This window comes from Homo sapiens, chromosome 20 (genome assembly GCF_000001405.40).
Source record: "Homo sapiens chromosome 20, GRCh38.p14 Primary Assembly".
NCBI lineage: Eukaryota > Metazoa > Chordata > Mammalia > Primates > Hominidae > Homo > Homo sapiens.
In genome coordinates, this window is record NC_000020.11 from 61,155,589 (window position 1) to 61,170,203 (window position 14,615).

Consider the following 14,615-nt stretch of genomic DNA (forward strand, 5'->3'; position numbering starts at 1 on the left):
TGGACAGGAAGATCTTTCTGACTTTTGGTAATGCACTAAGCATAAAGTTCAAGACCATCTTCCAAAGATGAATGTCATATTCATAGTCAAATTGGTTGGTTTCCTTTAGAAAACTAACAGTTTATTCCTATATTTGCACTTACATTGTGATTGATAAGATTTTTTAACTTACAATACAAAAATACAAACTGCAAAAAGTAACACAAAAGTAGAAAATGTGGAAAACAGAGGTAAACAAACCAGGGAAAATTGCCACTCATAATCTCCCCACTATGAAATAACCATATTAGGCTGGGCGCGGTGGCTCACGCCTGTAATCCCAGCACTTTGGGAGGCCAAGGCGGGTGGATCACAAGGTCAAGAGATCGAGACCATGCCCAACATGGTGAAACCTCGTCTTTACTAAAAATACAAAATTAGCTGGGTGTGGTGGCAGGCACCTGTAGTCCCAGCTACTTGGAAGGCTAAGGCAGGAGAATTGCTTGAACCCGGGAGGTGGAGGTTGCAGTGAGACGAGATCACACCACTGTACTCCAGCCTGCATAACAGAGCGAGACTCCATCTCAAAAAGAAAGAAAGAAAGAAAGAAAGAAAGAAAGAAAGAAAGAAAGAAAGAAAGAAAGAAAGAAAGAAAGAAGGAAAGAAAGAACCACATTACCATGCTGGCATGCATACTTTCCATCCTTTTCCCCATGTTAATGTGTAGAAGGTACACAGACATACATAGACAGCATTCATGCCCCTCCCCCAGCTCCAACAAAGGGCACCTCTTCATGCACAGAAGCCTGCTGTCTTCAGGATACTTGGTTCCAAAAAACAAACACAACCTCTGGTTAACTTAAGTAGAAGAGTGATTGTGGGAGAAAAACAATTGCTTCCTAAAGCTGAAGCTGTCCATATCCTAATCCTCAGCACTGGTGACTCTGTCACTTCACCTGGTAAAAGGGATTCCACAGGTGTGATTCAGTTAACGGTGTTGCAATGGGAGATAATCCTGGATAATCACAGGCCTGGATGTAATCAGAAGGGGACTGATAAGAGGGAGGCAGGGGTCAGAGTTAGAAAACGGAAGCAGAGGTAGGAGTGACATGGAACAATGAGCCAGCTCTCAAAATTAGAAATCACCAGGGAAGGGATTATCTTCCAGCCTCCAGAAGAAACCAGGTTCGCAGATACCTTGATGTTAGCCCCTAAAATCCAGTCTGGACTTCTGACCTCCAGAACTGTAAGATAATCCACTTATGTGTGTGTGTGTGTGTGTCTGTGTGTGTGTGTGTCTGTGTGTGTGTGTGTGTGTGTCTGTGTGTGTGTCCGTGTGTGTGTGTGTGTGTGTGTGTGTGTGTGTGTGTGTGTGTGTGTGTGTTTTGAGATAGAGTCTCACTCTGTTGCCCAGGCTGGAGTAGTACAGTGCTGCCATCTCAGCTCCCTGCAACCTGCCTCCCAGGTTCAAGTGATTCTTGTGCCTCAGCCTCCTGAGTAGCTGGGATTATAGGCGTGCACCACCACACCCAGCTAATTTTTGTATTTTTAATAGAGATGGGGTTTCACCATGTTGGCCAGGCTAGTCTCAAACTCCTGGCCTCAAGTGATCCACCTGCCTTAGTCTCCCAAAGTGCTGGGATTACAGGCTTGAGCCACGGTGCCAGGCCTACTTATGTTGTTTTAAGGCACTAAGTTGTGATCATTTGTTACAGCAGCCAAAGAGAATTAATATAGGTGCCTTATCTGAAAGGCATCTCTTAGCTCACAGAATCCACTGGATGCTGGGAAGCCAGACTGGCACAGACAAGCCAAGGAAGCAAGGTGCAGCCAAAGCTTGCTCACAGCATGACCGGCGTGACGCCCAGACGTTTGTCTCTGGATTCGCTCCCAGAGCTTCCCCTACAGGGACTTCCGTCCCCTGCCACCGGACAACTGCCCTTTGACAATGGGCTTCCACCTTCCCTGCAGTTGCCCCACTGACTCTGCCTGACCCCGTGCCTTCATTCACTCCACAGGAAATCACATCCTTAGATGCCCCTTGTGGCTTTCCTCCAGGGTGGCCCCAGCTCTGTCCACCAGGCAAGGAGTTGGCTTGTGATGTGGTTTGGCTGTGTCCCCACCCAAATCTCATCTTGAGTTGTAGCTCCCGTAGTTCCCACATGTCATGGGAGGGACCTTGTGGGAGATCATTGAATCATGGGCGTGGTTTCCTCTATTTTGTTCTCGTGGTAGTGAATAAGTCTCATGAGATCTGACGGTTTTATGAGAGGTTTCCCCTTTTGCTTGGTTCTCATTCTGTCTCTTGCCTGCTGCCATGTAAGATGTGCCTTTTGCCTTCTGCCATGATTGTGAGGCCTGCCCAGCAATGTGGAACTGTGAGTCTATTCAACCTTTTTTAAATAAATTATCCAGTGTTGGGTATGTCTTTACCAGCAGCATGAAAATGGACTAATACAGCTTGCCTTCCCCTGTGGCCTCACCTTCCTCTGCAGAGCTCAGACCCCCACCTGCTGTCTATTTGGGATTCCAAAAACAGTAAGGCATCCAGGTGCTTTGGAATCAAGCAGCCACTCCACCAGGTGGTCTCACTTCACTCTGTCCTCGTGTCATCAATGTCATTCGTTTTCTACAATCTAATCTTTTAAAGGCTTCTGTGTACAGTTGAAGCATGTAGGTTGTTTCTAATATATTCTATTTTAAACAACACTGCAGTGAACATCTGTCTAGTTAAATCTTTGGGCACATCCATGATTATTTTCTTAAGATAAACTTCTCAAAGTTGAACTCCAGCACGGATGGTGTGACAGCACATCAAGGCTCTTGTTGGACAAGACTCAGGGCAAACCCCCGTGTCAGTGACATGACAAGATGCAGGGCAAACCCCACGTCAGTGACATGACACGGCAGTCAACATTCTTGTTGCCAGATACATTCATATGAGAAGTGTACATTTGCACAATCACACACAGAGGCAAAAGGTTTTTGAAAGCTGGCATTAAATACTGTGTTTCTCATGACTACGTCTTTTCTCAGGTTCTGTGTTTTTTTTTTGGTGGGGGGCATAGCATGTAGGGAATTGAAATAGTAATATCACAGACTCCAGCACTGGCATCAAGAAAGAACATTATTTCAGTGATAAATATGTAATGTTCAAACTTTCCTTACGTGCGGCAAATGTGTTTGCCTGCCCTTTCGCGGCTCTTCGAGTTAGTGTTGGAAACGTGTCCAAATATGATTGGTCACATCTTTGGTTAGCATTTCGGTGTGGAATAGTACCGTTTGAATGCTACCCTTTCCGTGTATCTGCAGGTGTGCACATGCATGTATATGTATGTACAAATAGCAGACTATTTCTGTGATGAATATGTAATGTTCAAACTTTTCTTACGTGCGGCAAATGTGTTTGCCTGCCCTTTCGCGGCTCTTCGAGTTACTGTTGTAAATATGTGTCCAAATATGATTGACCACGTCTTTGGTTAGCATTGCAGTGTGGAATAGTACCGCTTGAATGCTATCCTTTCCGTGTATCTGCAGGTGTGCACATGCATGTATATGTACAAATAGCAGACAGATTCAAGTTTCAGTACAGCCAATCCCAACTAGAAGACCTCGGATCCATAATGAGATGCATGACAAATAGAAGTCATATACCCACAGTACACATGCTGGAGTGTCCAAGCATTCATGCAATTCTTTTCTTTTCTCTTCTTTCTCTTTTTTTTTTTTTTCTTGAGACAGAGTTTCACTCTTGTTGCTCAGGCTGGAGTGCAATGGCGTGATCTCAGCTCACTGCAACCTCTGCCTCCCGGGTTCAAGCAATTCTCCTGCCTCAACCTCCCAAGTAGCTGAGATAACAGACACCCACCACCACGCCCGGCTAACTTTTTGTATTTTTAGCAGAGACAGGGTTTTACCATGTTGGCCAGGCTGGTCTCGAACTTCTGACCTCAGGTGATCCACCTGCCTCAGCCTCCCAAAGTGCTGGGATTACAGGCGTGAGCCACCATGCCCGGCCCACGCAATTTCTTTACTCTGCAAAAATATTTTTGGCTCAGTCCATTCATACAGTCCAGTTGCTCACAGACAGCGCCTCCTTCTCACTTTTCTCAGGAACCCGCTTCTCAACTCCTACCCGCCACTGTTTCTGGTTAGTAAGAGGGTGAGATAAAATATGGAGAATGCATGGGGACCGCGAAGGGGGAGGTTTTGAAATCGATTAAAAAACTCGACCTGCGTTAGTATTAGATTTTTCCTTATGTTTAATTAAGTCTAATTAAACAATGCTGACATCTTCTTGGCACCTGTGGTGCAATGATGTTAAATATTTAATGCTTGTGAAGGATTAGGCTACACTTCTAATCTATAGCTAACAATCTGTTCCCTCTCTGGAGTATTTTTTATTTAGTTCTGCTTTTGTATAATGAGTTACATTTCAAAGGAGATTGTTAAAAACTTCAGCACCGATGGGCCACGTTGTTGCCCAGCGGATTGGAAGGAGAGGCGCCATGCCACGCCACTTCTATCTGGGCCAGTCCTCGGTGGTGGTTTCCTACAGAGAGAGAGAAGGCAAAGGTGAAAGTCACCAAGGGGCCTCTTCAGGGGCTTTTTCAGCCCCATGGAGCCCGGTGACTAAGGACGCTGAACACATGGACACAAGCTCACATTGAAAACACCTCTCCATGCTCTGCAGATATTTCCCTGAATGTTCTCTGGCCCCCTTCTCCCTAACGGCTGTCAGTTGAATAATGAAAAATTATATTTGTATATGTGTACATCTTTTGTATATTGCATATTTGTATATTGTATATGTATGTCTTAAAATTGCATGTCTTTACCCGCCTCCTCCAGCACACACCCACCCCTCTGCCTCTCAGAGAAAATGAAGCCGTGCTAGAGAGATGAGCACCTATTTCAAAGAACTCGCTTCAAAAAAAAAGTCTGTGGCTATTTCTGGAACTAGAAATGCCGAGTAAGGCTGTTTGCAAATTGTCAGGCTCAGCCTCTAAAGGAAACCCAGTCCCTCCTGATTCATCTTGGCCTGAAGTTGTTTCTGATAGGAGAAATTCAACTTGCTCTTCGCATATGCAACAATCGGTACGAGACTCTCAAAACGGGAAGCCTGCTTTCATTTCTCTGATGATTCCTAATATTTTGAATATGTTTAAGAACAAAAGACAGATTCATGTAATGAGCTTCCAATTGGCTGAATCTGTGTAATCAATTTCTCAGGGTTTTTAATTTTCTTCCCTCCTCCGCACAGCATGGCGGCAGTAGAAACTTCTTACTCCTAAGTTGGAAAGAGGATCCAGTAGCCTCTTTGGTTAAATCAATTGAACTTTTAAAAATTTAAATTAGCTCACTTATACAAGTTCTGGTGGTGATGAATTATCCTCAGGGTTTTTGGGCAGAGATGAAAATTAACTCTACTCCTTGCAATTAAGTTCCAAGTCTTCTAAAAAGAGACCCCAGGAGTGACTCCTGGGAAGGATGGCTTCCCCAGAAGCCGCAGCTCCTACCCCAAAATCCCTCCCAAGGAGGATGGCAGAGAAGAAGGCAGCAGAAAGCCAGGCACACGCACAAAAGGAAAGTTTTGTCCATAAATGGAGAGATACATTCGGTCCCATGTCAAATAGCAGGAGCTCCCAAGATCTGTGGGTGAGTCCGTGTATTTTTGATGTGCAGTAGTGACAATTCCATTCTGGAGTGGGCAGCTCATGGGTGGATTTTAAGTATAATTCATTTGTAAGAATCTACCTCCACCTGTAATCCCAGCACTTTGGGAGGCCAAGGCGGGTGGATCACCTAAGGTCAGGAGTTCGAGACCAGCCTAGCCAACATGGCGAAACCCCATCCCTACTAAAAATACAAAAATTAGCCAGGTGTGGTGACACGCACCTGTAGTCCCTGCTACTCGGGAGGCTGAGGCAGGAGAATTGCTTGAACCTGGGAGGTGGAGGTTGCAGTGAACTGAGATTTCACCACTGCATTCCAGCCTGGGTAACAGAGCGAGACTCCGTCTCAAAAAAAAATAAAGAAAGAAAGAATGCACCCCCCAAAGGAAAACATGGCTTTGCCCCACCAGACCCACCAGAGCAGTGGCAGGAACAGGAAACAGCTACTCACCACATGTTGTGAAGGCCAGATCACGTCTATTCAGGAGCATAACTGGATTTTCAAATATAACTTCACACTTATGTAAAATTAATAGGGTATTCATTATAAAATCTATGTGGCATCTTATTAAATGCTTCCTGTCACTGGAAGCAGAAGGTGAAGTTCCTTAAGCTGGGGTTTTGTTGCCCTCTAGTGAATGAGGTCAGCATTATGCATGCAAAATTATTTTGATTGCTGCATAATTAATGTTTACGGAGGTAGGAAGGAGAACCAAGCCCCAGCCTGTTCACAAGGGCTATGCGTGTATATCTATGTGTACCTGTGTGTGCGTGCACATGCGCGCTTGTGTGTGTCTCCATCCCCCATAAACCCACCCCCACCTTCCCTGAACTTGACTTCATTAACATATGGAAGCCATTTCTTCTCTCCTGTCACTGTTATCTTTTGGCATGGAAGTTTAGTTTTATACGGCTATCAACAGGCAAAGATCCAAGCATAAAGAATAAATCAACAGAGCTGATCTGAGACGCAGCACTTTAATGCATAAGTGTATATTTAATGTGTCTGCTGAAAGAATGTCTAATTACCCTGTCATTGAACAAAGCGCATGTTCAACTGTGATAAATTATGCCATCCTTTACTTCTACAAAACATATTGAGATTGAGAAAAGCTGCAGCAAAATCACCACATCATCCACCCAATAGGACAAGTTGGCATTGCCCAGACCACCACGGGAGCAGAGGAGAAACCACCGGGTAAGGGTTCAGAAGCTGCATTTCAAACCTTGGCTACTGCGCTTGGCGAGAAGCAAGCCCTTTCTGCACGGCGAACCTCCTTCAGCTTGAGTTGTCCCCTGTATCGGTCTGTTATTGACACTAGATTCACGGCGTCTATATTCTGCCATTCTGAATCCCAGTTTGCCAGAAGGCTGGATGCCAATATCCAAAGAGAAGCCAGTCTGTATTTCAGGAAAAGGGAAGGGAAAGCCCAGGCGCCTAGCACCTCAGTGCTTGCTGCAGGAGCAAGGCTGCTGGCGTCTCCCTGAGGCTTATTTATAGGCACGCCTCTTCCCACGAGAGGCTACGAGATTCAGACACCAGGTGCCACATCTCTAAGAATTCAACCCCCCAAAGGGATTATAGAAATGAGGATGAATATATTATAGCAATATGCCCCTTTTGAGCTGCACCAAGGAGAGTAACGCAAGGAGGGGGTACAGTGGGGGAAATTGTGGGTGACAGGAAACCAACCAAAGTGCAACTACTGATGCGTTCAGCCCATCGTGGGTGGGAGGAGACCCAGGCGATAATATCTGAGAAGTGTTCTAGAAGCCAGGGACATGGCGGCCAAACTGGGGTGATGTCAGGGAGGTGTCTCCTGCTAAGGTTCTGCAATATGGATTCATCTCAGTAAGTAGGTCACCACCAACTCACGCCCACCTTTGTCACCCCACACCCTCCACCCGCTTTCCTTCCCTGGGTCTCAGTACAGACCTGTCAGCTCCCCAGCCACCAGCCTTGGCAGTCCCCAAGCCCTCCACAAGCAGGAGAGGCAGTTCCAGCTTCGAGCCCCAGAACCAGGTGCTTGTGTCATGCAGGAGCAGAGTAGAAACCACGCTGTGCTGTGTGATTTGTGCAGCGCTGGGGCCCACGGACACAGAAGCGCTGGCTTTCTTTTTATGTCAGCAAGAGCCATAACAAACCAGGGAGAGAAAATATGATTTCATCTGCCCTGGTATCTATTCCTTTCCTGAGAGAATGCCCAGAGTAGCAGTCTGTTTCTTCAATGGCGATTATATTTCTTATTTCTTTGATTACCTCTTGTAATAGCGTTCTTTTATTTACCGACATATAAGAGAAGGCTTTACCACGATGTCTCCATCACGGGTAAAATACACATCCCGTAACATCAGTCCCTTTATTTGCTTTCCTGAATTGTGATCTATAGACTAAAGGGCAAATGAAAAATAGAGATAAAAAATCTATTTCTGATACCATATTGGCTCTAAAATGTCAAAGTTTTCTTTATTGCTTTAGGAGATTTGTACCCTTATTTATCTCTCTCGTTTTATTTTCAAAGGCTGCAGTCTCCGCACTGTTTGACGGGATGCTGTTTTCATGTACAATCAGGGCTCTCCCTTGCTGCTTGTTGGTATTTTATCAAGACCTCCTAAGGCAGCAGAGAAAGAAAAGCCAGAAACCCAGCTGCACAGAGACTGCAGGTCAGTCACTGATATGCCACGTGGGTGGCCGGTGACACGTGCACGTGGCCACAGCTGATCTCAGTAATAAGCAGTGATAGGCACTCCATGTCTCAGAATACTAAGAAATTGATAGACACACTAAATACCGTGCTTCTAAAGGACCATTTAGGGTCTCAAGTGATCCGACCAGAATTGAGTAGCCCAAGCTGTGTGCCAGGGTCGTTCTGAAGTTAAAAGCTCTAAGTTAGTCAAAATTCTTCCGCTCCTGGAAACAAAATGTACCTTCAGAATGAGGCCGTATGGAAGGAGGTCATTTCCTCTGTTCCGGTCAAACTGACTAAATGGAGAACATAATGAAATTGTACTTGAAACAAAGGCAAGGATTATAGCAGAGAGGCTCCTTCTCCCTTTTTAACACTTGTCTCCAAAACTCACCAAGAACCTGGGCTGCAAAAAGGAAGAGAAGAGAATGCCCAGAAATGCTTCCCTTCCTCGAGCCTGCTCCACGTTTCCCGTCCTTCCAAGATGGGTGGATTGAAGTTCTAAAAAATGATGAACTAATGATTCTGGAAAAAAAAAAATCTGTGTACTTCCCTGAGACAGAGACTGGCTTTGTCCTAGAAACGTTCTTTTCCATCCTAGAAATGGAAAGAACAAACAGAAAGGAAAGAAGCTCACGATTTGAGGAGTACTGGAGGGTTTTCCATCCTGGCCCAGGCAGTGAAGCCATGCTAGTCCACGCGGTAGAGTCACAGCACTCTGCCAGAGGAGGTCTTGCCCCTCCATGCAGGGGATACCTGGAAACACCTGGAACCACATCTGGTTGTCACAGCTGGAGAAGAGTGGGTGGAGGCCTAGGACGCTGCCGTACACCTTACAGTGCACAGGATGACCCCCAAAACAGAGAATTTTCTGGTCCACAATGACAGTAGCCAATCAGGCTACTGTGGAGATGTGGAGAAATGTGGAGATGCTGAGAAATGAGAAATGCTCCTCTAGAGAGACTGTCACACATTTCAGCACTGGGCAGCTTTTAATTATTTCTTATACCTTAGTTTTGTTTTCTTAACCAAAGAGTCTACCGCATCTCTCAGAATTATATTTCATCTCCTGAGCCCCTGGCAGGAGGATGAGCCTTCATTATGTCACCCACAAAGATGAGACTTGCTGGTAAAGGTGTGTCAGAAGCCCAGAGACCTCTCAGTGCCCAGTAAAGTGAAGACTTTGGGGAGCAGAGAAATTTAGAACAGTCATGACAAGTACCACCGTCCATTTAAAGATGTTTTTCTTCAAGTGTCTTCTTCCAAATTGCCACCAGCCCATTCATTTAGGTGGCAATTGCATTGCTGCTGGAATGCTAGGGGAAGGAGGAGAGGCCACGACGAAGCTAAAAAAGCGAAACCGCCACAGCCTGGGGTTCGGATCTCGCCTCCGCCGCAGCTCGTGTGTCACTGTGGCCAGTCTCTTTACCTCTCAGGCCCTTAGATTCCACCTTTGAAAAATGTGGTTGATGATAATAAAAACTACCCCTCAGAACTGGGATTAAGGACTCAAAGAATTTGAAACGTGTTTAAACATGCCCGCCACATTTTAGGCGCTGGGGTCAGAGGTTCTGGATTCTCCTTGGTGCATCTGTTTCTGCCCCTTACTTTAGAGCCATGACATCAGACTAGTGTTTCCAAGTTTTTTAAACATTTTTTTTCTGGCTTTTCCTGATGTTCATTTTGAGGAATGCCCAGGAAGGAGGCTGTGGTCATGTCTGGCTGGTGGTGCTCCATTGAAAAGACCTGTGGCTCTGACAGCCTTTTGCTGTGTAGGCAGTTGGTGAGTCTGTGACCCATAGTTAAAATAGGCACTCAAGTCCAATTTTTTTTTTTTGAGACAGTCTTGCTTTGTTGTCCAGGCTGGGGTGCAGTGGCACAATCTCAGCTCACTGCAAGTTCTGCCTCCTGGGTTCAGGCGATTCTCCTGCCTCAGCCTCCTGAGTAGCTGGGATTACAGGTGTGTGCCACCACCCCCAGCTAAGTTTTGTGTTTTTAGTAGAAACGGAGTTTCACCATGTTAGCCAGCCTAGTCTCGAACTCTTGACCTCAAGTGATCCACTCACCTCGGCCTCTCAAAATGCTGGGATTACAGGTGTGAGCCACCACATCCAGCCAGAGTCCTATTTTTTTTTTTTTAATCTTTACTCTTGTGTAAAGTGCTTCAGCTCTGGTTGGCTTATCCAGCCAACTTCATGAGAACTGGCTGATGGAGTAACTGCCACCTCCAAGGAAGATTCCAGAGTCATCCTCACATCAGATCCATCCAGGTGTAGGGGGTGCCAGTCCAACCATGGGGAAATCCTAGTGTGTCTGGGCATAGTATTATAACCAAATTCAGGACACAGAGGAAACCAGCGATGATTGGGATTGAACTGTGGGAGGGTGCCTGACATGTTATCACAATCTGCACCACCTTAGCAATCATTTGCCTAACAAAGCCATTCAGCCAAGAAATCTCAGCCCTCCTGTCTGTAGTCAGGTGCACCAGAACCATCCTTCCACTCACCTCTCGGCCAGTGAAAGAGAATAAAATCCCGGCATTCCCCAAGAGAAGGAAGTCACACAGATTAAAGTTCCTAGCAACTGGTCTATTGATAGAACAACAGGACAGAATTTTTAGCCTAAAATAATCATGATCAACCGTCCTTGGCATTTTTCACTCATTGAGTAATACTCATTGGAATGCATTTATATTTTCTGTGTAATAAATCAAAAGCAAAACACCATTGTTTCTAATTTATCTTGTAGACTGCTCTAGTGATATCTTGCCACTGCTAATATTTCCAATATTTCTTTAAAATCATAAGATAAATGGGTCCTGAATCTTCAACGTGGTGGTGATCTTCATAACCTAAAACTTTATTTCGGGGTGGGGGGGTTCTTTCTTTTCTTTTCAGTTTCTAAGGAAAGTAATATACAAATTATGTGGAGCAAGCACTAACTGTCAACACTAAAATATTGACTTTGCTCAAACGCTTACAAAGAGAAAACATTAACAATTGTGATCATAAGTAGACCTGGTGTACCAAGCATATGAATTATGAATCAAAAGACAGAAAGGTGCTTTTTTTCTGCAAAGACATAGAACAGGATATTAGAAGCCCAAGGGAAAATAAATGTGTGTGCTCTTGGTGCTCCTTACGTCCACCATGCTGCTTACTCAGCACAAGCACCTGCTGCCCATTTGTTCCTTCTCCAGGGTGCTGCCCACAGAACACAGTAAACGCTGACCAATTGGTTGATTGAAAACCACTTTAATTGTAGGAAATTATCATTAATTTGAACTCTGCTAATTCAGAATTTGTGCTCATGCAGGCTTTGGTTTAAAAAAAATCTTCATGAAAAACTTTTGCTTTAGTAGACACACCTAGGTGCAAATCCAATTCCTGTACAAACACAGGGATTACATTTGTTGTATTACACCATGTGTAGGAGCACATGCAGCTTCCAAGCAGGTTCCAGACATGCGTTTCCCTATAAATTCTTATGATATGCTAATTATAAACCATTTTGCCTGTGTTTAATTTTTATTATGAAATAATATGTCCTCATAATGAAAAAACTAGAGTATGTAAAATAGAAAGTGGAATCTTCTTTGATTGCACCTCCTGGGTGAAGGTGGCTCTCTACTTACCCCAAATGTTTTTAAAATCTAATCCCAAAGGGCATTTCCCTGTCAGCTGAATTCAAGTTGAAGTCAAGATGGAAGTAATGAGGCAGTTTTAAAATAAGTAATCATTAGTTCAGAACCTTCAATAAAATGGAGGCAAGTCATCCATCTAAACGTGCTCCTTAAGGAATCCTCCCTCCCCTTGGTGATGTCACAGGAGTCCCGAGGCCTTGTGAAAGGACAAGGTTTGGAAGTAAGATTTTGTGTTTCTTCCACCCTCTGAGAGTGCATGTGTGTTCTTGCCTGGAAGGCCGTGTCAGAACCAAACAGAGAGGCTGCCTGGAGAGCACCTGTCAGCCTGATGCCATGACAGCATCAGTCCATTGAGGACCCCTGGAGGGGATGACGAAGAGGTGGCCAGAGGAAAGACAAGAACATGTGGGGAAGAGAGGGAGCTACAGGTGCTGAGGGGCTCTGTCCTCACAGCCACACTGGACTTGGCCCCGTGGCGCTCTGTAGCAGGCTGCAGCCCAGAGGGTGGCTCCCAGTGCCAGCAAAGATCCACACGCCCAGGCTTAGGGTGGGTGCTGCAGAGTCCCCCTTCCAGGAGCCATGCCCAACTCGACAAGGGCACATTTACAGGGACCAATAAAGACGAAACCCCGAGGCAGCTCCCCAGGCTTCTGTCCCTGCACACCTCCTCTGACACCCTAGCAGCAACCACCTGGGGGTGAAGCCTTCGCAATGACTGCATTGAATTCTCATCACGGGAGCTTGCGTCAGCCAGGGTCCTCCACAGAAGCAGAACCAACAGGATGTATGTGTAGAGAGATTTATTGTAGGGAATTGGCTCATGCAATGATGGAGGCTGACAAGTCCTGAGATCTGCAGGGGGAGCTGGTAAGCTGGGGTCCCAGGAAAGCCGATGATGCAGTTCTAGTCAGAAGTCTCAAGACCAGGCAAGAGCCAACGTTGCAGTACAAGTCCGCAGTGTTCCTCCCATCTGGGACGCCGGGAGTGTTACCTGCACAATGGGTGGGTTCCATTGCTTGTCAGGTGATAGTCCAGTAGCCACAAGCAACGAAGATTTAACAAAGGGATTTTATTACTTGCAGCAAGTAAAGAGGACACCAGGGATAGTCCCTACCCTAAAGCAGTGCCTTCCCGAACAAAGCTGATAACAGGGCTTTTATTAGGCTGGTGAGCTGAGACATTGCATGCAGAGGTGGGGTAAAAGCGGTGCAGGCGTGGCTGCTGATCATGCTTCTATGTACATTGCATGTATAGAAAACGGCAAATAAGCTCCTCCCTGGGCCGGGTGTTTAGCGTGGTAATGAGGAGAGTTCTCCAAAGCTCATCTCCAACTCAGGCATCTCTGGACCGACCAGATTTTGTTTTTCCAGGGCTGAGCTTCTTCCTGGAACTTTCTGAAACAACAAAAACTGAGGTACAACAGTTACAAACAGGTGTTTTTGTGCCATGCATGTCCCAAACCCAGGGATCCTGCGTTACACAATGGCAGGAAAAATGCAGCTGCCCCTGACCAAAGAGCATCGGACAGGAGGCATTCTCCCTTACTTGGGGGAAGGTCAGCCTTTGTGTTCTATGCAGTCCTTCAAAGGATTGGACAAGGCCCCCCATACTGAGGTGGGGTAGGGGACAATTGGCTTTACTCAGCCTGCCAATTTAAATGTTACTCTCAGCCAAGCGCAGTGGCTCATGCCTGTAATTCCAGCACTTTGAGAGGCCAAGGTGAGCAGACTGCTTGAGCTCAGGAGTTTGAGACCAGCCTCGGCCACATGGCAAACCCATCTCTACCAGAAATACAAAAAATTAGCCAGGGAGGCTACTTGGGAGGTGGAGGTGGGGGAATTGCTTGAGCCCAGGAGGCGGAGGATGCAGTGAGCTGAGATCACACCAATGTACTCCAGCCTGGCCAACAGAGCAAGACTGTGTCTCAAAAAATAAAAATAAATAAATAAATAAATAAAAATAAATGTTAATCTTATCCCAAAACACCCTCACAGACGCACCTAGAACAATGATGGACCAAATATCTAGGCTTTCCATGGTCCAATCAAGTTGACACCTGAAATTAACCATCACAGGCTCATTAATGATTGCATGTATCTCAAAGAAAAGGATGTGTTGTATCATAGCTGCCCTGATTTGCAGATTAATATTCACCCTTTAACAGAAGCAAACAGGTGTTGCAGGAATGATGGCCAGGTTGCTTACTGCCACTGAGTGTGGAAGTGCCATCATTGTATCCTCCTGTGCCCCTCTGTCTCTTCCTTCCTTGAGTCTGTCCTTTGTGAAATCCATTGGCTGGATCTGTCTTCACTGTATGCTAAGAAAACAGTAACAAAAATAGCCTGCTTCTTCTCGAATCACCAAGCCAAGGATGCTATGAGACTGTTTAGCCCACAGCTAGATAAAACACTGACAGTAAATCACTTGCTCTTTCTAAGGGTTATAAACGTAACAAAGAGCTGCTGTGGAATGAGTTGGAGCTGCCCGCCCGAGTTCCAGGTCATTGCCCATCGATGACCACAACCAGCAGCAGCTTTGAGCTGGCCCGGTGAATGGCCGGAGGCTTCGCTTTTATTTTCAGCTGCTTTCTGCTGGCCCAGGAGCAGACTCAAGAGGGAGAAGCTGGAG

The 14,615-nt window shown here is 45.8% G+C and overlaps 1 annotated feature.

The window, feature by feature from the left end:
* Nucleotides 7,556-8,755: an enhancer, noted in NCBI's record as "CDK7 strongly-dependent group 2 enhancer chr20:59738200-59739399 (GRCh37/hg19 assembly coordinates)". NCBI's record gives its function as "activates an origin of replication core promoter dependent on BRD2, BRD4, P300/CBP, MED14 and CDK7 cofactors, with strong dependence on CDK7, by STARR-seq in HCT116 cells {active_cell/tissue: HCT116}" and the evidence as "EXISTENCE:reporter gene assay evidence [ECO:0000049][PMID:35650434]".